The sequence below is a fragment of the Homo sapiens genome, chromosome 4 (genome assembly GCF_000001405.40).
Source record: "Homo sapiens chromosome 4, GRCh38.p14 Primary Assembly".
NCBI lineage: Eukaryota > Metazoa > Chordata > Mammalia > Primates > Hominidae > Homo > Homo sapiens.
In genome coordinates, this window is record NC_000004.12 from 121,932,225 (window position 1) to 121,952,908 (window position 20,684).

Genomic DNA, 20,684 nt, shown 5'->3' on the forward strand with positions numbered 1-20,684 from the left:
AGTTGGGTGAGCACACAGAGCAGCCGGGGTAGAGCGCAAAGCTTACCTTGAACTCCTTCTCTATGTTGGCCAGCTTGGCCAGCTCGTTGCTGAGCTCTAGGGCCGTAAGCACCGGGTCCTCGCTGGACAATGAGAGGTAAGCCGGGCTGGCCAGCCCCTTGTAGGCATTGATCCTCGAGCGTGAGTGGCTGAAGGAGTCGTGCCTCTGCTTCTCCATGCAGTCCCCGCACTTGCAGAAATAGTCGTGCGGCCGCTCGATCCTGGCACCCTTCATCAGCAGCATGTGCACCACTTCGTATTTCTGGCAGTGCGCCGCCAGGATGATGGGGGTGATGTCCGGCGAGAAGCGCGTGCCGTCCTCGTCGTAAGCGTAGAAGTCGTCGTCCTGCAGCTCCTGCTCACAGGGGCTCAGAGTGAGACGCTTGCTGGCCGCGAAGCCAGGGTGGTTGAGGATGGCCTCTACGATGCGCACGTAGCCCTTGCTGATGGCGAGCAGCAGGGCGTCGCCAATGCGCGCCAGGTTCTCCTTCTTGAGCAGCAGCTCGGTCACCTCCAGGTGCTCGTTGCCCACAGCCAGCTGCAGCGCGTTCTGGCCCATGTAGTCCACGCAGTTGACGTTCAGCGTCTTGGACTCCTCCAGCATCTTGCGCACCACTGGGATGTTGCCGTACTCGGCGGCGTCGAGGAAGCGCTCCTCCTCGGCGGTGAGGCTGGTGCCGCGGTCATTGAACATGAAGGCCGGGCCCCTGACAGCCTGGCGCCGGCCCTTCTCCCGCATCACTGTCATGCGTCTCAGGGATGGGCTTCCCTCCATGGACCTAATCAGTAGCAACGATAAAACAACTGTAGAATATTAGGGCACATTCCTTCCTTTCACATGTCAGGGCCCTTTCTGGAATACACACTACCCACTGCAAACCTCTGGCTGCAGGGGTCGGCTCAGTTGCTAGCGATACCGTTGCTAACTACTCGCCTGAAAGTGACACCTGTGATCTAACCCTGGCTGCTAGATCCCAGAAGGAAGCCGGCAGCCCTTCAGAACAAAAGCTCCTATTCTCTAGAAAATGATATTCAGATGGAATAATAATAAAAATTTCCATATACCCATGCCTTCCTTGTGACCCTAGTAAAGATGGAACTCATCGTACCTTCCGCTCTTAAAAGTCTTGGACATTGAGGCTTGCAGGTACTTGACATTCAAGTACTAGGCTTGAAGACTAAGAGAAGTTAATTTTTTAAAGAATGAGGCCAAAACACTCCTGCCAAGTCATTGCATCCTTTTAACTAAATAAAATCATTGACCCTCAGCCCCCTACAAAAGCACAGGATTTAGGCCAAGTATCATGTTGCAGGATCTTAGTTTCATCTTTTTCTCTTTATTTTAAAATTTTTGTTTATTTAAATACTTTTTTAGAGACAGGGTCTCTGTGGCCCAAGCTAGAGTGCAGTGGCAAGATCACAGGTGCAGCCCTGAACCCTTAGGCTCAAGCAATCCTCCACCTCAGCCTCCCAAGTAGCTAGGACTACAGGCACATGCCACTTGCCCCCACACCCTCCACCTTATGCGTTTCTCTTAAGGGGATTCACCCATCCCCAAGTTATAGGATTTATCTTTTCAAAGATGCAGACAAGATTTAGCAATTATAAAATTTGAGCATCAACCTAGATTGATTTTATTGAAAACAACCGTGCCTTTGTAATAAGAATTATTTAATTACTAGTATTATATATTTGCCTCTTGGAACTGAAACGACAAGGTTTGATTATGGTTTAAAAATCACTAGAATTACTTTGTGAGTAAAGCAACTGGGCACTAATTGTACATCCAGATCAATGCGCACTGAAATCCTAACACAACCACATTAGTTGAGATTTATTTAGCTGCATTATCAAAGTTATGTCAATTGATGTGTACAGTGATTTGAGTTCACATCTTAATTTCTGTGATGTTAGGTAAATAATTTCATTTCCTTGTGCATCCTTACGCCAGGTAGAAAATCGAATTTTATGAAGTTCTCAGATTTTCCTCATGAATAAAAAGCTTTTTCGGAAATTCAGAGTCTCTGAAAAACAATGCTAAATAAACACTTTTAACATCGTGACTATCTATAATCTTTCAATAATCTGTACAATATTTTGGTGGCTATTAAAATGTTGCACAAATATTGTATAAATCTGTATCTTACCTTACCCACTTCCAATGTTCAAGATAACTTCCTTTTAAAAATCTGTGATTTTTGGTGGGATGAATTGTACCAAAAAGTACCAGATAAAGCTTCCACATTACTGACTTTTGAAGCAAATAAGTCAAAGTTAAAAGTGAACGGCTAGAAAAGAAAATGCTTTATTTCTAGAATATATATTCCAGAAATACCTCCTACCATTGAAAAAACTGTATTCGTGGAGTCAGGAGTTGAAAATTAACTAGAGAGGACACTGGCCTCCCTGGGTGCCTGGGGTGGATGACTAAATTGGGAAGCTTCCCTGGCAAGAGGAATCAGAGGCACCTACCAGTGTCCATTCTGTTTTCAGCTCTGAGGGCCCCAAACAGAGAGAGGAGCACAGAAGCCACTGGCTTCTCCCAGATAGGGACTAAGGCAAATGTGGCCGGGCAAGCCTGACTCTATAGAGGTATGGCAACTAAAGGGGTCCCCAGAGAGGCTTGTTGACTTATGCAAGGACACAGTGCTGTGACTGGCACCCAATTCTAATGGCTCAACTAGTGTCAAGTGATCAACTTTTAAAAATTAAATAAACATATTTGTTTTATATACACATATGTGTTTGTAGCAATTTCTAGAAATCAACACATGAAGATTTTGAAGTTATATCTGGACTGGGACTAAGAAGTCATACAGGAAGGGGGACTTTCACTTTTTACTTTTCACTTATACCCTTTTGCATATTTTGAATAGTTTTAACCACAGTGTGAATCTCTTTATTGAACATAAAATTAATGTTTTAAATTTTTATTTATTAAAAATTTTATTTTTAATTCCTTGGTTGACAAAAATGTTAAAATGTATTTATTAGAAACCATTACATTATAATCTTTCTGAAGTGAAATAAATGTGCTGTGTTTGGCTGTTATGAGTAGGGTATGATGTGTAGGGGAGAGTGTGGAGTAGAGTGTATGTGTGGTATGTGTGGGAGACAAGGGAAGGGTGCAAGTCTGAGTTGGGGGACATGTGTGGGGTGTGTGTGTGTGTGTGTGTGTGTGTGTGTTGGTATAATAATGACTTTTAGGTGGACAAGAACTGCATAGAAGAGAACTTTGTTTCAAGACCAAACTCTATGACAAGGATTTTAAACAAATCTTGTAAATATTATAGTAATAAGTATGTTTTATGACTATTAGTGGTACTGACTTCATTGGGTTAATATTTTTATTATTAATCTATGAACTGATATTCTTCAAATGGCTAGAAATTCCATGTTGTATAAAATATTATATATTGATGAGAGGAAATATATGTGGAGTATATATGTCAGAATTTCAATACTCAGAGGGGTTACCTTTGGGAAAATAAACTCTTATTAAAGTGTCACATCTTGGTGGAAAGGCTTTTAATTTAATGATTGCTATCTACAGGGAAAAATCACTTATAAAAATCTTACTATTTCTCCCAAAAGACACCAGGTTGAGAACATTAGGACATCATTCTTTCATCAATATTTCCTTTGTATTTCTTAGTATTTTACGGTTTTCCTTAATACTTCTTATTCCTTCAAAAGCTATACCTCCATACTATATATTTGAACTGAAATGTCTGATTTTAGAACAAGTCACATGTCATTTTTATTTTGTCTTTAAAAACTTCTGACACTGAGAAGTGAGATATCTCAATTAGAACAAATTATACTGTTGTTTCAAAATAAAAGAGCTGACTTAATATCACTCATCTTATGATAAATTCACAAATGGAAGTGTCTTTTTGTTAACTTTCCTTATAGTACTAAGATAAATTTCATTAATCTGAACTGATGGAACGAGTCAATATTCACATCATCCACAATGCATAAACATAATCTCAGCTGGCCTTGACAATGTATCTCTTCTAGCATGAAAAATAAGGAAGGAATGTGGGTGAATGGGGGAGAATGTTTAGCTCTAGTAATGTTAACACTAAAATTATTTTGCCAGGAATTTCCTACCCTCAGATCTTCATCCAATGGGTCATTCAACACCGCGAGAGTGCATTCTGCAGGGACTTCTTTCTGGTAAAAGCATTGGAGTACCACTGACCCGCAGATCTATGAGGGCCATGTTTAAGCTCCTCATGACTAATACAGATAGCTGGTAATATCCAACTGCTATGGACCAAATTGTGTCCCCACAAAATTCATATGTTGAAGCCCTAACCCTTAATGTGATAGTATTTGGAGACAGAGCCTTTGGGAGATTATTTTGAAATCATAGGATCATAAAGATGGGGCTCTGATGATGGGATTAGTGCCTTTATAGGACAAGAGGGCTTGCTCCCCTCACCCTGCTACCTCCTATGTAAGGAAACATTGAGAAGGTGGCCACCTACAAGGTACCTCTCCAGAAACCGAACATGCTGGCACCGATTTCAGACTTCCAGTCTCCAGAACTGGAAGAAAATAAATTTCTGTGTGTGTCTTTTTTTTAAGCCACCCATTCTATGATATTTTGTCATGGCAGCCTGAATGAAGACACTGACAATACATTTTAAGGCAAAACATTTTTTTCATGCTTTGTGGGACCCTAGAATTTGTCCAAACACTTAAGCAGATGAAAGGCTCTTCTGAGAAATATTGTGGTGGAGCCATAGGGAACCCTCTGCTCTGCTCTATTCAGAAGCTAAAATACAAGTAACACTCCTCACTTTTCCTAACTTTGCTATCAACTCATCTGACCTCCAACAGGGTTTCTCTAAGTGTGACCTGAGTACCACCTGCCTCAAGGTCACTTGGACTGCTTGTTGAAATCAGATTTCTGGGCCCCATTCAGATGAACTAAATCAGAATCTCTCACGGTTGGACCCTGAAATATGCCCTTTAAATGAAAGTTCTTTACAATTACTGGGAACCTCCAATATAAAAATAATGGAGCATCCTGGATCAAGGACCCCTGGCTATGAGGCCTTCAAGCAGTTGTCACTCTGGTCCTGCCAAAAATGAAGTTGAAATAATATGTTTGAGCAGCACAGGCTAAGGGACAAGTAGCCTCACATTCATTTAGTTTCTCTAAACTTTATTAACTATTTAAAATTTGGTCTCCAGGAAGCTATTTACCTAAACCACAGCACAGCAAGTAGGCAGCCTACAGAAATGCCTTCAGCAGTGACTGTTTAATGTCAAGACCTTGCTTTTATGAAGGAGTGATATTTTTAAAAGGTTATTGTATCTTTTCAAAAACAATTAAAGAGTTAAAGAGATTGTTCACCATAGTATTCTTTGTACCTTTTATGAGGATTAAAGTGCCAAAGTCAACCTAGAATTGCAAATCAAGAAGCCTCTCTCTTCAGATAAGTTTTTGTCCTTTAATCTAAAAATAAAAACTGTATAACCCTCACTCCCCTGCCCCTCTCTTAGGGGGACTGCTCAATTGTTATTACTATCTTATTTCACATTTCTGGCACAGTCTTTCTCCTTTTTTAAATTATTTCTCACACAGATTTAAAACCAAATATCCTATATTCCATGTGTTTTAAACCTGTTTTAAGTTATTTGAGACAGAGTCTTACTCTGTCACCCAGGCTGGAGTGTAGTGGGAGGATCTCGGCTCGCTGCAACTTCTGCCTCCCGGGCTCAAGTGTCTGAATTTATTTAAAAAAAAAAAAACAACCCAGAGTATTAAGAAATACCCTCTCATATATGCCTCTACTGTACACGTTCATAGATAGTACAGTCATGTTTTATTTATCATTATCCACAGAGTTCTACCCAGTGCCCCATAGAAAATAAATATCAATAAATATCTGTTTAGTTGAGTTTCTAAATCTCTTCCTAGATCCCATCCTCTCACCTGACCTCAGGTCCCACATATACTGTGGTCTATCACCTGGTTACTCTAAAATGCCCCAACTCACCTTCTTCCTTAAAGCAGCTCCCACTCCTAACATTTGTATCTCAGGCTGATTATTCAGGTTTAGAAATTTCAAGGTCATCTATGACTCACTGTTTTGATCATGTCAGTCACAAAGTTCTAAAGCTTCTGCTTTGGAATGTTTCTTGTACTGAATGCTTCCTTCCAATTCTCATTGCCAGCACCAGCCTCCAGATCTTTATCAAGTCATAGCTGGGTTGTTGTAACAGCTTCCCAGCAGAGATGGCATGAAGGAAGGCAACTAAACTTTTCTGAGCACCTCATATGTATGTAATGTTTTCAATGCACTATCATATTTAACTCTCATAACAATACCACGAAGCAGGTATAATTTTCTCTGTTTCATAGATAACAAAACTGAGCTCAAATGAAATTGCCAAAGATAACACAAATGGTAAAATAACGAAGAACTGGGATTCAACCTGGAATCTGTCTGACTCTTATTTTCCATTGCCTCAGGCTGTACCTGATTCTCCTCTTTACACATGACAACTATGCCCAGCATCTTGCTGTTCATAAACTCTGTTTTCACCATATCACACTTCTCTTTAAAAAAAAAAACCAAAACAGGAAACCATCAGTAACACCCCTACTGCTCTTTTCATCAGTCGAGACTCGTCTGTATGACTTTCAGGGATGGTGACAGCCCACCCCACCCTGCCTAGCCAACCTTCCTTCCCTTGTTCCCCAGATTCATTCTTCACTATCCTGTAAACATATTATTCTGCCATTTCTGTACTGTCAAGGGGTACTCCCGTACTATTAAGGACATTTGTTGAAAATATATTAAGGTGCTCTTCTTTTTTGCCTTTTCAAATACAGGATCTTTGCCCTGGTTGACTCAGGACATCTCTGCCTGGAGGGTGGGTGGTGCAGTATAGAGTTGGGTGGGTGTGTTCAAGGGGAGTTCGAGAAGATACATTTTACAGGAGTGAAAAGAAAAGGATCATGGAGAAGTTCAGATTCTTACAAGCAAAAAATTATGGGATTTTTGTATTTTTATGAATGATTTTGAGGATTTTGCAAGCAGAATTTGAGAAAAGGGAAACTGTCTAATGAAAAGATTTTCTCAATTCCTTTATTCCTCTAATTCATCCTGAAGGACCCTGATCATAAAGTGCTCTCATTATGCAGACAAGATAGCTCTCCCACTTCTGACAGCAAAGCCGTGATGCTTACTGTCCTGGGAGGACAAATAAATAACAGAAGGGAAGTAAAAGTCAAGATGTGGATTCAATAAGGTGAGGAAGTACCTTAAGTACTGGTTAAGTAATGGAATGATATGGGAAAAGCAAAGAGCTTTCTCAAGCCACCCTCAGCTCCTCTGTGGTGTGGACACTGCTATGAGAGCCAGGTAGCCTGCACTAAGGCTTGGGACAGATTGCTGGTGCTGTAAGCTGGATGGAAGATGTTGCAGGTGCTGGGATTTGTAGCAGTGGGAGCTGAGCTGAAACCAAGTACTTGAGGGAGCATATCTGGGTTTCTAACAAAAGAAAGTCAGCCAAGATCCAGTTACTTCTGCTGACAAGCAGCACTCAAGTAGACATAGAACAGTGCCCAGAGACCAGAAGAGTTAGAGGACACTAACTCTTTCCCCCTCCAGGGACACATAAGCTCCCCTCCCCCAAGGGCCAGATGTGACAGAGAAGAGCAGGGGAAAGGGTAGTTCCCGAGAGCCTGAGCAAGTTTATCCAAATAAACATTTACTTTATAGTATCGAACTAAGATAAAAGAGGTCAGCCTCCCGGCCTCTTTCTGCAGTGTGCTGAATGCTGGTAGACAGACAGGCCACTGAGACTCTGAGCCCTTTAGAAGATTGGGGGACAAGAATCAGAAAGCAAAAGCCCCTTCCACACCGGCTCAAGACGTGGGGAGACACTGTCCTAACTGACCAAATCCCTGCCAAATGTAGAGCAAGCCTTCCCTCCTTGTCAATTCACGTAACTGCTTAATTGCTTAATTGACTTAATTGCCTAATTTATTGATTGCACTATTCACTTGTTGAGTGTCTGTGTAGTAAGCAAAAACAAAACAAAATTTAAAACACTAATGTGAACCACAGATTGGGCATTTAATGTTTTCTCTCCTACTCAGTAAGTGGGAGGCTCAGGAGACAGACTTTTGTTGCAGGCAGATTACAGGAGCTACACGTTGCTGCCCATCCAAGTTGTGAGTGATTTCTTGACCCTTTTACACCTACCTCCAGGATGTTCCTCTTATGTTTCCCTCTCTGAACACACTGTTATTTCTGCTCTTTGCCAATTCAAATCCTTCTTACCATCAGTGGTCCAGTTTACATTACACTTCTGTATACAGAGGGTCACGTTTCACAGGGCAATGCCGATATGACCCACAAGATTCTGTTCAGTATGAAATGTTGGGTCTTTTGATCCTTTCTGAAGCCATTCCTGACCACTTCAGCCCAAGCTTTTGTAATATAGGTAGTCTACTCATAAATATAGACACTTAATTTTACCTCATCTCCTTGATTTTTGTCTCCTTGATTATTGTCTCCTGTGACAATCATGTCCTCAGTTCAATTGAGGATAAATGTTTTATGTGCCTTATCTTATGTTTTATTCTTGACATATTATCTCTACTGTACCTAATACAATGTAGTATATGTTCAAAAATACTTGGCAATTGATACTAATTCTGCAGATTTAAAGACTTCATCAGAATGCTACCTCCCTTACGGTCACTGAGGAGTACAGAACTAGAAGATTAGAGCTCAGAGGTCTTCCTGGCTACTTTATCATGATGCTGCTAGGGAATAAGAAAATGAACAATGGGTTATAAATCCAAGTATCACTATTAAAATGCATGCTGAGCTTATGTGTCAGAACATTTTGGTTCTACAAAGAACAGCTTCTAACATGGGTGTTTGGGTTGAATCACAAGCTCCTTAGCACACTGCAATACATGAGCATTATTACGGAAGTCACCTCAAATCCTTTATTGAATGAGGTAAAGATTAACCAACTATTCAACCCATGTAGCAAGCAAGCAAAGTAAGAACACCATCAATGTGAGTTGAGTTAATGAGAATGACATCCAAAATGTTTGGATGGAGCAGTTCACCACATTGAAGAAAGTGACTGTGCTAACCAGCCAGGATCCTGTGCGTCAGTTTTGAAGGGCAAGAAGGGCAGATGGAGCCACAGAAGATAAGTAGTGAGAAAAGCACAGAAGTGGGGGAAAGTGTTAGACAACAGCCACCATGTTAGTTACACTATGGAGATGGTGATAATTGGAAATGGTAATGAGGGTGGGAAGCAGCAGGTACTGACAAAAGACAAGAAAGTCAGAGAAGAAAAGACAAGAAAGTCAGAGAAGAAAAGTCAAAAAATAGAAAAATCCCATAATCTCCCTGGCAAGCAGGCACCTGTCAGTCAATGTGGCTACCTCTGGAGACATCTGACATTTACACAATAGGCTTATGTGTATGTGGTTGGAAGGAGGAGACAGAATCTGACAGTCTTAATAATATCATCAAAAACACACATTTTGAACATCTCTTAATATATATTTTTTGGAGGGGAAGAAGTGGAGTGGGGACACTCTGAACCCCAGTAGCCATTAAGTACACCAGCATGCAAGGCTAGGGAAAGCTAGCCCATCACTTCAACTGTCTAGTTAGAGAGTACATGGCCACAGGTAGTCCACAAGTATCTCATACCTACTTCTCAGCCTGCATCTACCTACACATCATAGAGCTCAATAATACATTGTCACAGTAACAACCAAACCAGCAAGATAAGGTGCTTCACTGAAGAAAGAGGAAAGCGCAGATTTCATTTCTAAAGATTCTCATCATTCCCACCGCCGCCCTGACACACACACATAAAAATTTAAAATATAAGCATTCCAGCACTTATAAGCCCAGAGAGATATTTAGGTCTCCACAGTAATGAATTCCCTGATAGTTTCTGTTGGTCTGCATTATATTCAGAATTCTTCATGCATAATTTTAATAAAGCTTGGCCAGGCATGGTGGCTCATGCCTATAATCCCAGTACTTTGGGAGGCAGAGGCAGATGACTCACTTGAAGCCAGAAGTTCTAGACCAACTGGGGCAACAAAGTGAAACCCCATCTCTACTAAAAATACAAAAATTAGCTGGGCATGGTGGTGCATGCCTATAATCCCAGCTACTCGGGAGGCTGAGGCACAAGAATCAAGAATGGCTTGAATCTGGGAGTTGGAAGTTGCAGTGAGCCAAGATTGCGCTGCTGCACTCCAGCCTGGGTGACAGAACGAGACCCTGTCTCAAAAAACAAACAAACAAACAAAAAACTTAAAAACAATCTATTAGATATATGCTAATTTTGGCATTTGCCCTAATGACTGTCAGAAGCAAGAAGCTGTTGTGTATTTAAGGAGAGGAACCCTGGTCTATCTCCACTGCTTTATCTCTCATTCTTTTCATAAAAGCATGAGTAGCTCTTTGCCAGATTCCTCAGCAGCTAAAACCAGAAAAGCAAACAGCTACCTAACAGTGCATTGTTCCCTCTAAAAGTACACTGGAGCAGAAGTGAGGACCCTTAGCCATTGCCTGCATGACTTCTTGGTAATACTTCTTAAACGAACGTATGTGCCCAAGAAAGTATTCAAGCAAATGCCTTCTAGAACTTAGATGTTTATGCTTCTAGGAACTGTGTTCTGTGTATAACTCCATTAAACCAACTACTGTATTGCTTTGCAATTGTCTGTCTTCATGCCTATCTCCCCAATGATATTAAAATGTCCTTAAAGGCAAAGGCTGCCTCTTTTCATCTCCATATGCTTGGCTTTTAGTATATGGTGATGAATATCTATTGGAGGGATGGGTGCCCAGATGCACGCATAGTTAAACCACATCACTGAAGACCTAAGGAACAGATAATTTTCCCCCCCTAGATTACAGAATACCCCTAGTCACATATGGTTATGTGTGGAAGAAGCAGTGGTGGAGGGGAATTGAAGTGATTCGTCTATAAAAAAGAATGTCACATATAATATAAATTAATAAAAAGAAATAAAAGTAATGTCAACAATCATTCTTTCAAAGCAAATTTCTGCTTAATAACATTTAATTCTTAGTTACACCACAAAAGTATTTGGTGCATTCTCTATCTCTTGATTTTGATTTTACATAGTTATATTTTATCAGGATAATCTAGAGGCAAACAGGAGATAAATCTTAAAATTAATAACCTTTAATAATTAATTAGTAATTAAACAAATCTCAAACTCATCTTCACAATGCTTTTTAAAACTAATTTTTATTATTTCAGGAAGACTAGTGACAATGAAATTAAAAGTTATATAAATTCAGTCTATACTTGAACAAGAATTCAGACAAAATGACCATAGATAATAAAATTAAGGAACTTCTACTGACCCAAGAGAAGTTCATATTTAAATACATTAGTCACTATCAATTATATATATATAGTTATTAGAATAAAGGAATCTGGTTTTCTATCATTATCATCCATATCTAAAGTCAAAACAAGTCACACATTTTCCTTAACAAGTCACACATTTGTGGACATTTAAGTCTCATTTTTTAAAAAGACCTAGGACCAAATCCACATTATCACCTATTATTTGAACAGTGCAAAGAAAATAGTATTTTTAATAGGTTTTTTTTTAACTAGATAATTGAAGACAAATATACCTGACCTAAATGCTAAATTAAACACAAAATGCTATTAACAATCCTAATTATTCTCATAAAGTCACTGCTGAGCCCCTCGTGCATAAGCGTGAAGTCAGCCATCCCACAGTCTACATCTGCAGACCCTCTGTATGGGGCCAGACTCCTATGTGTTCACCCAGCACAGCCCACTAACACAGCGCCCCTTCTGGACGGATGTTATGCAACACTGAGGGCAGTAGAGGGGAGAGGGTTGAGAAGCAAGACTTCTGGACAAGCAAAGAGCCTCCCCTCCTTAGAAGAATGCCCAGCAGCCATTCATCATTCCTTAGCATCCTCCCTGAAACAGGAAATCTCAATCCTGAGCTAGGAAATTTAAAGGATTCCTTCCTACCAAGGGCACAGCAACTCCGTAAAGTTTTCTTCCTCCCATTACATTTCCCATGGCGTTTGACTGCCTATTATAAACTGGGGGGTGGGGGGAGGGTGGGGGAGTAAAGGTTTATGGGATATTGTAGGCAGAGGAAAAGCTCAATGTTTAATAACAACTTTAAGAGAAAGAGAGAGGGACAGAAAAGCACAGACACATTTTCTATCCCAGCACAATAATGAAAAATCCTTAAAATTCTAACTCAGTCCTCAGAAGATGGTCTAGTGCTGGACTGGGATCCTCTCACCTCTTTAATATTAATAAAAGGGATAATCATAAATAATATTTGGCAGGGGGTCAACTGTGCTTTGCGATAACCTTTTTTCCTCTTTCCCCTTACTCTTAGACCTCCTATTTAGCTTACCAACTTTCTCAAGTTGATTTGCCATCAGCAGCCAAATTTAAATGAATTAATTGGATTTCATAAATAAATTAATACTAATTAATAGTTTCCTGTATTGCTCCTCCCAAGAGTAAATGCATTTTAAAATTTCTTTGAGGAAGAGAGAAATGCTTAACCACAGGAGGCCACAGTGCGAACAGCACAGTCCCAGAAAGCTGGGGATTTCAGATGGCCTGGGGCTGCTGTGAATTAGATGTCAATCTGCAGCTTCAGTTTCTTAATTTGTAAAATAAGAGACTGGACTAGATGAAATCCTTTCAAATTCAAACATTCTATTATTCTTCAAAATATTCTATATTGTTAAATTTCAGAAGTGTGGTACTAAGATGATTTTAGGTGGGGAATTCAGATGACCTTCTTATCACACAGTGTAAGTTACTATCTACTCCATGTGCTTAATAAGATCAGTTACGAGTAAGAATGTTCTTCCTTCTGCCATTCTTGGTTACGTTAAATAATATTGCCAATGTTAGGGCTTAAATAAACACAACACACAATCATAGGAGTGTATCATAGGGATGTTCAGTCTCAAGATGGTGGAATAAAGGCCTTTCTCATCCCTTCTCCTTTTCAAAATTACCTCCCTAAACAAGGAGAACAAGGAATTGCAACACAAATTTCATCTTCCATGAAACCAAGAGACATTTGTAACTCCAAGCTACAATATATAACGGTGGAAAGGAGATGAGTTGTTAAAATAGTAAATCATTTAGTGGAGAGAAAGAAGTTCCAACTACAGTGGCTGTTACAGAAAACAAGCTGATCCACCCAGCTCAATGCTAGAGAACGCCCAGAAATTGAAAGCAAAAAAAATTCCAGAAAGTAGAGATAAGGCTGGAACCTAAAATGAGGGAATTGGCTATATAAAAAGTGCATAGAAACCCTCCCCCTACATCCCCACCTGCTAATTGATATGGTTAAGTGACAACCCTCCTGCACCCCTATGGGAGATAGGATATGGAATCTCTGGAGATACAGAAACAGAAATGCTCTAGACGTGGGGATACCAGGGGGGCAGGAACTAGGAACAGGGGGACTCTTGCCCAGTTCGTCAATACTAACAGCCAGGTTTATTATTTCCTAATCTCTTCTCCCCTGAGAAATATTAGGAAAAAAACCCCTGGATCTCTGAAATAAAGAATGCTATAAAAAAGAATACTCATAAGACAAGAAAGAGCTCTTAGAAATTAAAAATATAATCACTAAAATGGAAATAAATTCAGTGAAAGAGTTGGGAGATAGAGACAAGGAAATAGAAAAAACACAAAAAGCAAGCACTGGAAAACAGAAGAGAAGAGATATAAAAACTAGGGGATCAGTCAGGAGGTCCAACATCCAGACCATAGAAATTCCAGAAAAAGCAAAGAATAAAAATAGTGGTTAGGAAAACTTCCCAGAACTAAAGGACATAATGTCCAGATGGAAAGTGTTACCCAAGTGTCCAGCTCAGGTGATGATGAAAGCATCCATACCAAGGCACATCTTCAGAAGAGAGCTAATGAACAGACAATTCTAAGAGCTTCCTGAAGCGGGGGGAAAAAAAGACCTCATACAAAGAAAGTTAGAGGGCTCTAGAAAGGATAACTTCAGGAAAACACACACAGTTAGACACCGTAGAAGATTTAGCTAAGAAACAAGGACACGATGTGACAAATATTTACTCCAAGAAAAACAATCAATTATCAAAGAAAATAAATGTAGTCATACTATACTACTTGACTTAGCGGTGAACAATGATTACATGGTCATATTAATGAAGAACTTAAATAAGATATTAACCAGAAATTGTGATAAACCATCTTGTGGAAGATAGGGGGAGAATAATAGATACATGTGAACATAAATTCTCACCTGAGACTACTGATAACATCTAAAATATGAATAAAAAGATAGCAGTATATGAAAGAGTTGAAAGTGGAGTAGACAGAAAAGGAGAAGGGACCAGGGAATTGCTGGGGGCTTGCTGTTGTTCGTAGACGTCTTTTAGCACTATCTAACTTTTAAAACTATTTGATATTACATAAAAATAACTTAAACCAACAAAAATGATGACTCATTGTACACAGTGAAATTGCTATATACAACTGATAATATAAAGAAAAGTTTCAGAGTATTAAAGGCCTCAAGGCTGGGTGGTGCAGTGGTTCATGCCTATAATCACAGCAACTTGGGAGGTAGAGGTAGGAGGATTGCTTGAGCTCAGGAGTTAGAGACCAGCCTGGGCAACATAGTGAGACCTCATCGATACAAAAAATTTTACAAGTAGTCAGTTATGGTAGTGTGTGCCTGTAGTCCCAGTTACTTGGGAGGCTAAGATTTGAGGATCACTTGAGCCTAGGAGTTTGAGTCTGCAATGAGCTATGATTGCACCAACTGCACTCCAGCCTAGGTGATAGAGTGAGACTCTGTCTCAAAAAAAAAAAAAAAAAAAGAATTAAAAAAATAAAGTCCTTAAGTCTAATGCCATGCTGTGCTGTTCTTAAAAATTAAACTATAACTGTAAAGAAAGCCGCCTCTTTCTTAATAACACTAGTCAGTCTGGACTCAAAGTCCAGACTCATGTCCCTAAGATTCAACAATCACTTGGAGAATCTGATTCCCTCCAGGGTTGGGAGGGAGGGAAGTCCTGCTTCCAGTCTAATGCCTGAGCCAACACACACGCTAAGCCAAGACTGGAACATTTATACAAGACCAGTGCCACAGAAACTAACATACAAAGTGTTTTAGGTAATCTGAGTTACAAGGCATTGTGGACTCATTTTTGGTTCCTTGATCATATAAAGGTGAGTATCAGAAGATCTATTATTGATTTGCCAGGGAAGCGTTAGAACATTACTTTACATCTCTGTGTACTAATTTCCTCATTTGGTAAGTGATGACAATGATTTAAAAAACTGCTTTAAAGAGGAGCGATTTAAGTGAATGAGTATAAACGACAGCATGAAGTAGTATATAAACACAAATTAACTACTTTTATTAAGACAATTTTTTGGCAGCACTTCCTCTAAAGAAAAACTAAACAGGATTTTTTTTCTAGAAATCTTTCTCTGTTAAAGATAACATTGCTGAAAAATCTAATGATTTTGTGCATGTATGCTAATACGTGCAAGGACTGATTCTTCTAACAGTAGAGTCATAAGTTTTTCTCTTGATCTTTCAGTTTTTGAAGAGTGTGCATCGATGTTATTTCTTGCTGCTTTTTCTCCCTGCCCTCTAAACAAAAGCTTTTTCCCTCAAAATCTAGCTTGGACTCCCTTTGTTTCTCTCTTCACACTCCTTTGAGTAATCTCATGTAGTCACACAACTGTGTAACAATTCCCATCAGACAGCTTTAAACTTGTATTTCCTTTTCCCTGCTTAACATCTCTATCAGAAATATTTGATCATTCACTATTCCTTTAAAAAGAAAAAAAAAAAAAACAAAAAGAGAACTATCTGAAAAATCAGATCCTCACCTTTGCTTTTTTCTTGTCAACAATGGCATCAACCATGTTGGTTATCTGGGTCAAAAATCACTAAATTGTCTCTGATCCTGCTTTCTCTTTAAAGCCATCATGGATAGTGAGTTGCAAAATTCCATAGATTCTAGCTGGTTTTTTTTTTTTTCCCTCAATTTCTCCCCTTTCCATTCCACCAACACTACACTATTACAGAGTCTAATCTCAGCCTGGACAGTTACAGTCATCTCCTAATTTGTCTCTTCACTTTCTATTAATTGCCACTTCAATCCAGAGTGGGTTTGCTCAAATTACTGCTACTTTAAAATAATCAGTGGCTCCCTAGTGCCTCATCCTGGCATATAGGATCCTCCGCACTAATGCCTCAAACCAACATGTCCAGCTAAATCTCACTGCTCCCCTATACATATCTATGTTCCAACCAAACTCAACTAATATTCCTTAAACATGCCTGGCATTTTGGGGAAAGAGAGGGCTTGAATTAAGTATTTACCTTGTCTCTGCTTCTTGTCCTATCTATCCTTCAAGGCCCATAAAGGTTTCCTTGATTTCCCCACAACTTAATGTTGTCCTTCTCTTCTTCGCACTTGACCCTTTATAACTCTTTGCGGTTTTTTTTTTGTTTTTTTGTTTTTGTTGTTGTTGTTTTTTTTTAAAACGGAACTGATTTTACTCTAATTTACAGCATAACTGCTCATGCCCAGTCTCATTCCCACCTCTCCCTCATGAGATTGTAAACTTCTTGAGTACAGGAAAGTTGTCATGCTTATCTTTGTGGCTTGCAGTACCTAGCCTACACTTTGCAAATATGCACGCTTGAGAAACGCTTGAATTGAGACTCATGAAAACTGCCTTCCAATATCTTTTTTGGAATTCATCACATATACTGAATAACTGAAACATTTTTAAAAAATGAGGCCGTCACTACAATGACATATTACTTGGTCCTAGGTTTGCAACCAATTGGGATGAAGGAAGTCTTGGTTTGAATCAGTGGTTCAATCAAGAGTTCTATCAACAGGTAAAAATAATCTTGTTAGTGATACAGCAGGTGACACTTTTCCTCCCAAGTCAGTCTATTTAAAATTTCCACATGGAATAGGGCAGCATGGAGCAGTGAAACCAGCAACAGAAGTACCCCGAGGAATTATCCTGGTAAAGGTGGGATTGTACCCTCAGCATCCTGCTCAATTTTAAATTCAGCTATGCTGTTCCGTCTCCTGAAATGACCCTGGGTATCCTTCTCGGAGTCCATCCTAGGGCTGTCGTGTTCACTTTTAAACAACAATAAATAAACACTGTTTATGAAACAGTGGCCGGATTCTCCTCAAAGGTGGAATAAACAGCTAATCTCTGTTACAGAGATCAAGCTAGTCTCCGATGTTACCAAGTGACAGGCCTGAAATAAACATGAAGAGCTTGCTGCCCTGCCTCTAGAAGAAACGTTTTTAATGTATATCTCCTTAAAAATGACTGGGTCTTCTTCTCGACCTCTACAAAATAAGTATACCACAACATTTACTTGCTGAATTACGTAAAGTTAGCAAACATATACAAAAGATGTTCTATTAGCAGTGAGACAGCAAGCCTACAATAGAATTTGCCCTAGGGTTTTGTGTAATTGACCTCAAATTTCGGAAGGCAAAGTGAATAATCTCTGCTCCGCCCTACTTTCTCAGATAAGAGTTCCGGTGTTTCATGTAGTCAGGATTTAAGGTTTTTAAAAAAGAAGAATTTTAAAAGGAATAAAAAAACAGCTACGTTATAAAAACCAATTTGGCAAAAGGAAAAATGGACAATGTTTTAAAACCTTAGGGAGACGGGGAAGTGAGCTGGTGGCGCTTTCATCCCAAAGGATATACCTTCCCTCCATTTCCTGGGCCGTTTCCATTCCACGCTTATCTTCAGCAATAACTGAACCACATCGGGATGCGTCGCTCATTTAAAATCAGAACTCTTCCCTATGGGATCTACTCCCAGCCACTGATTGTGTTCCTGTGTTCTACCGGCAGGTCCAGCCTGACCAGGCGCAGACTCTGCGCGCGCGGAGCAGCGCGCGATCCTGGGGATGCAGGGGTCATCCCGGAGGTCTCGGCCTCGGGCGGTGGGCCTCTCGCCGGCAGCAGGGGGCGCTGCAGAACCTCGGTCCCCATCCTGGAGAACCACCTCCCCGGCTCAGCCGGTCTGCGCCGCCCGCCACCATCCGACCCCAAGTTCTCTACCTAGTTCTGAGCGTTCTTCCTAAAAAAGACAGTAAACCCTGCGGCACTCCCAGTGTTACGTGACAGAAAAAATACAGAGCATCTCACCCTGTGAAACCGATCACCCTCTTTTTATCTTCTCTGCGTCTCGCACTGATTAAAAGCTGTCTCCAAGATTGGAAATTAAGAAAAGTTGCTCTTTCTCATGCATTAGCGCGCCGACCGCTCCTTCGTTTAGAAAGAGAGAGAGGGAAAGAAAGAAAGAGAAAAAGAGAGCCCGCGCGCCGGGGCGCGAGCCGCTGACCCTGCACCGCCTGGGAACCGCAGTCAAAGTTATCACTAAAGCGGTTCCCCGGCTGCCCGATGCCCACTCTCTCCCTCAGGGGACCCTATAGGGCTTCGGTTCCAGTTTTACCCCAAATGTGACTGAACCACAGAGAGACGAGGCGCCTGGGCAAACCTTCAACCCACACCCTGTATCGCACTGTCCCCTCCCTACTCCCCACTTCTCTGCCCCCGCCCCCGACGTCCCAGAGCGTCGGAGGGGACCCAAGTCCACGCTGGGACGCCCGGGAGGAGTTCAGGGTTCAAGTGCGCGCCTGGGTCTGTGCACATCTTCCCCTTCCTCGGCCTCCCTGGGTAAGCTCGGGACCCCGGGGTCCGTCTTCCAAGGGGTGCCCAGCCCTGGCAGCAGTCGTGCGAGCTCCTCGGCTCTAATACAGGGAGTGGCTGCTCGCCAGGATGCTTGTCTGAAGTCAGTGTGCCCGCCTGCGGGCTGTTCCGTGTGCTTGAGCCTGGACAGAGCCCCTGCCACGCACTCGGCAGCCCCTGTGTCCCTCCACCGCGCGGGACCGAGGGGGCGAGCCTCCGGCCGAGGTCTGTCCCCTCCAAATCACTCCAAATCGAACTGCCTGGCCGTACCATGTGGGTCTCGGAGGTCCCGGGCTCGACGTGGAGCCGCCCGGCGCGCGCCTTCCCGCCCCCCGCCCGGCACCGCCCTCCGAGGCGCGGGCCGCGGCCGGGCCCGGTACTCACAGGTCCGGCCCGTGGGAGAAGGGCGGCGGGCAGTAGCCGTGCGGCTCCCGCTGCGAGGGCGCCGAGCGCGGCTCCAGCCCCCCGTTGACGCCCCTCCAGCCCCGGCGGCGGCGCTGCGGCTCCGCGCCCTCGTCCTCGCCCTCGTCTTCCTCCTCCTCCGGCGCCGGGAAGGTCACCCTTGCTTGTTCTTTGCACTTCCTGACCTTGGTGGACATCGCGCCGGCTGCGGTCCGAGTGTGGGGGTGCCGGCTGCCGGCCTCCTCCGCCTTCGCGGCAGTGCAGTCTTCCCGCGGCGCCCCTTCACCACCTCCCGCGGCTTCCGGGGCCCCGGGCGGCCCAGGGCGGGAAGGCAGGAGCGGAGAGCGTCGCGGCCCGCGATCCAGCAGTTAGAGGCTAGCGCCGAAGCCGAGCTGCCGCCGCCCACCATCAAACCGTGGGAGCAGCTGCCGCGGCCGTGGCTGCGACGAGGAAGCCCGGGGCCGAGCGGGGCTCTGGTGCTGGGAGAGGCTCTCCAGCCCCGCGGCGGCGGCGATGCCTCCTCGGCGCCCGTCTCCTGTCTCCGACAGCATCACTTGCTAGGACAGCATCGTTACTCAGGGAGAAGGAGAGGGAGGGCGGGAGGGGGAAGAGGAGGGGGAGAATCAATTCCTTATCAGACAGAGCTGGAGAGGAAATCAGACAGACCGCAGGTGGGGAGTAAAGAAAGAGAAACTTCCCCTCCCCACTCTCTTTCTCTTCCAGAGGATCTAGGGCCCTTTTTGCATCTACAGAAACAAGTTTCCTAAGGAAGGGAAAAGGAAATCCACTGGCTTGTTAATTTTCCTGCAGCCAACTCTCCAAATTTGTCTCAAAAAGCATCACTTGTTCGTTGGGTTACTCCCGGTAAGACTTGGTTGAACCTACGGAGGTTTAAGTACCTTCCCCTGAGTGCCTTCGTACTCCATCCAGCCTGGTAATGTTTTAAACGTGCATGATGCTTCAGTTCTTTTAATGACTCTCAAAGGCGTCTAATAAGATTTATATACTTTCCAAGGAAGATTTTTCAGCGAAATGCAGTCTTCTTTTTAAAACACACTCACAAAAATTGCATTTTAGAATTCAAGACCAGTCATTCTTTTGGGAGGAAAGAGGTACAGAATCTTAGCAGGAATCTTAGGGATCAAGGAGTCTCTTGGTCCTTTTAAATAAGAAACCCTTGGCCTAGAGAGACTGAAAAAGGTACTCATGATAGGTGGGTAGTGAGAAAACTTAGATTAGATCCAGAAGAGTGTGTTCTTCCAGACTTTCCCTTGCTTCAAATAGACGGCTTTCTAGCAAGTCCAACTAGGAAAAATCACAAAAATACTGGACACGCTCTGATGAGATAAAATTTATTTAACTGTATCCAATTATACTGTACTTTTTAGAGGAACAATTCTTCCCAAATTTAAGCAAAACACAAGA

General features: G+C 42.2%; 1 protein-coding gene and 1 long non-coding RNA gene across 9 annotated transcripts in view, besides 2 other annotated features; one reads left to right on the forward strand and one right to left on the reverse strand.

Annotated features, from left to right (window-relative positions):
• The window catches only part of TRPC3 (transient receptor potential cation channel subfamily C member 3), a 77,580-nt gene extending 57,744 nt beyond the window's left edge, over nucleotides 1-19,836 (reverse strand). For 7 of the 8 annotated variants that reach the window (NM_001366479.2, XM_011532218.4, NM_001130698.2 and 4 more), the window contains exons 1-2: nucleotides 19,242-19,836; nucleotides 47-818 (exon numbers count right to left, since the gene is read on the reverse strand). In NM_001366479.2, the coding sequence (NP_001353408.1) occupies nucleotides 47-818; nucleotides 19,242-19,456 (987 nt within the window). In that variant the 5' untranslated portion in view covers nucleotides 19,457-19,836. Of the gene's footprint in view, nucleotides 1-46; nucleotides 890-19,241 lie in introns of those variants that run through there. The other variant, NM_003305.2, reaches the window with a different exon arrangement.
• Nucleotides 18,047-18,156: a silencer, noted in NCBI's record as "silent region_15661". NCBI's record gives its function as "represses an Ori minimal core promoter by ATAC-STARR-seq in GM12878 lymphoblastoid cells {active_cell/tissue: GM12878}" and the evidence as "EXISTENCE:reporter gene assay evidence [ECO:0000049][PMID:35858748]".
• Nucleotides 18,758-20,684, forward strand: part of LOC102724158 (uncharacterized) — a 38,699-nt gene continuing 36,772 nt past the window's right edge. The window contains exon 1 of the long non-coding RNA XR_427598.4: nucleotides 18,758-18,845. This is a non-coding gene — a long non-coding RNA (uncharacterized LOC102724158). The remainder of the gene's footprint in view (nucleotides 18,846-20,684) is intronic.
• Nucleotides 19,427-19,696: a silencer, noted in NCBI's record as "silent region_15662". NCBI's record gives its function as "represses an Ori minimal core promoter by ATAC-STARR-seq in GM12878 lymphoblastoid cells {active_cell/tissue: GM12878}" and the evidence as "EXISTENCE:reporter gene assay evidence [ECO:0000049][PMID:35858748]".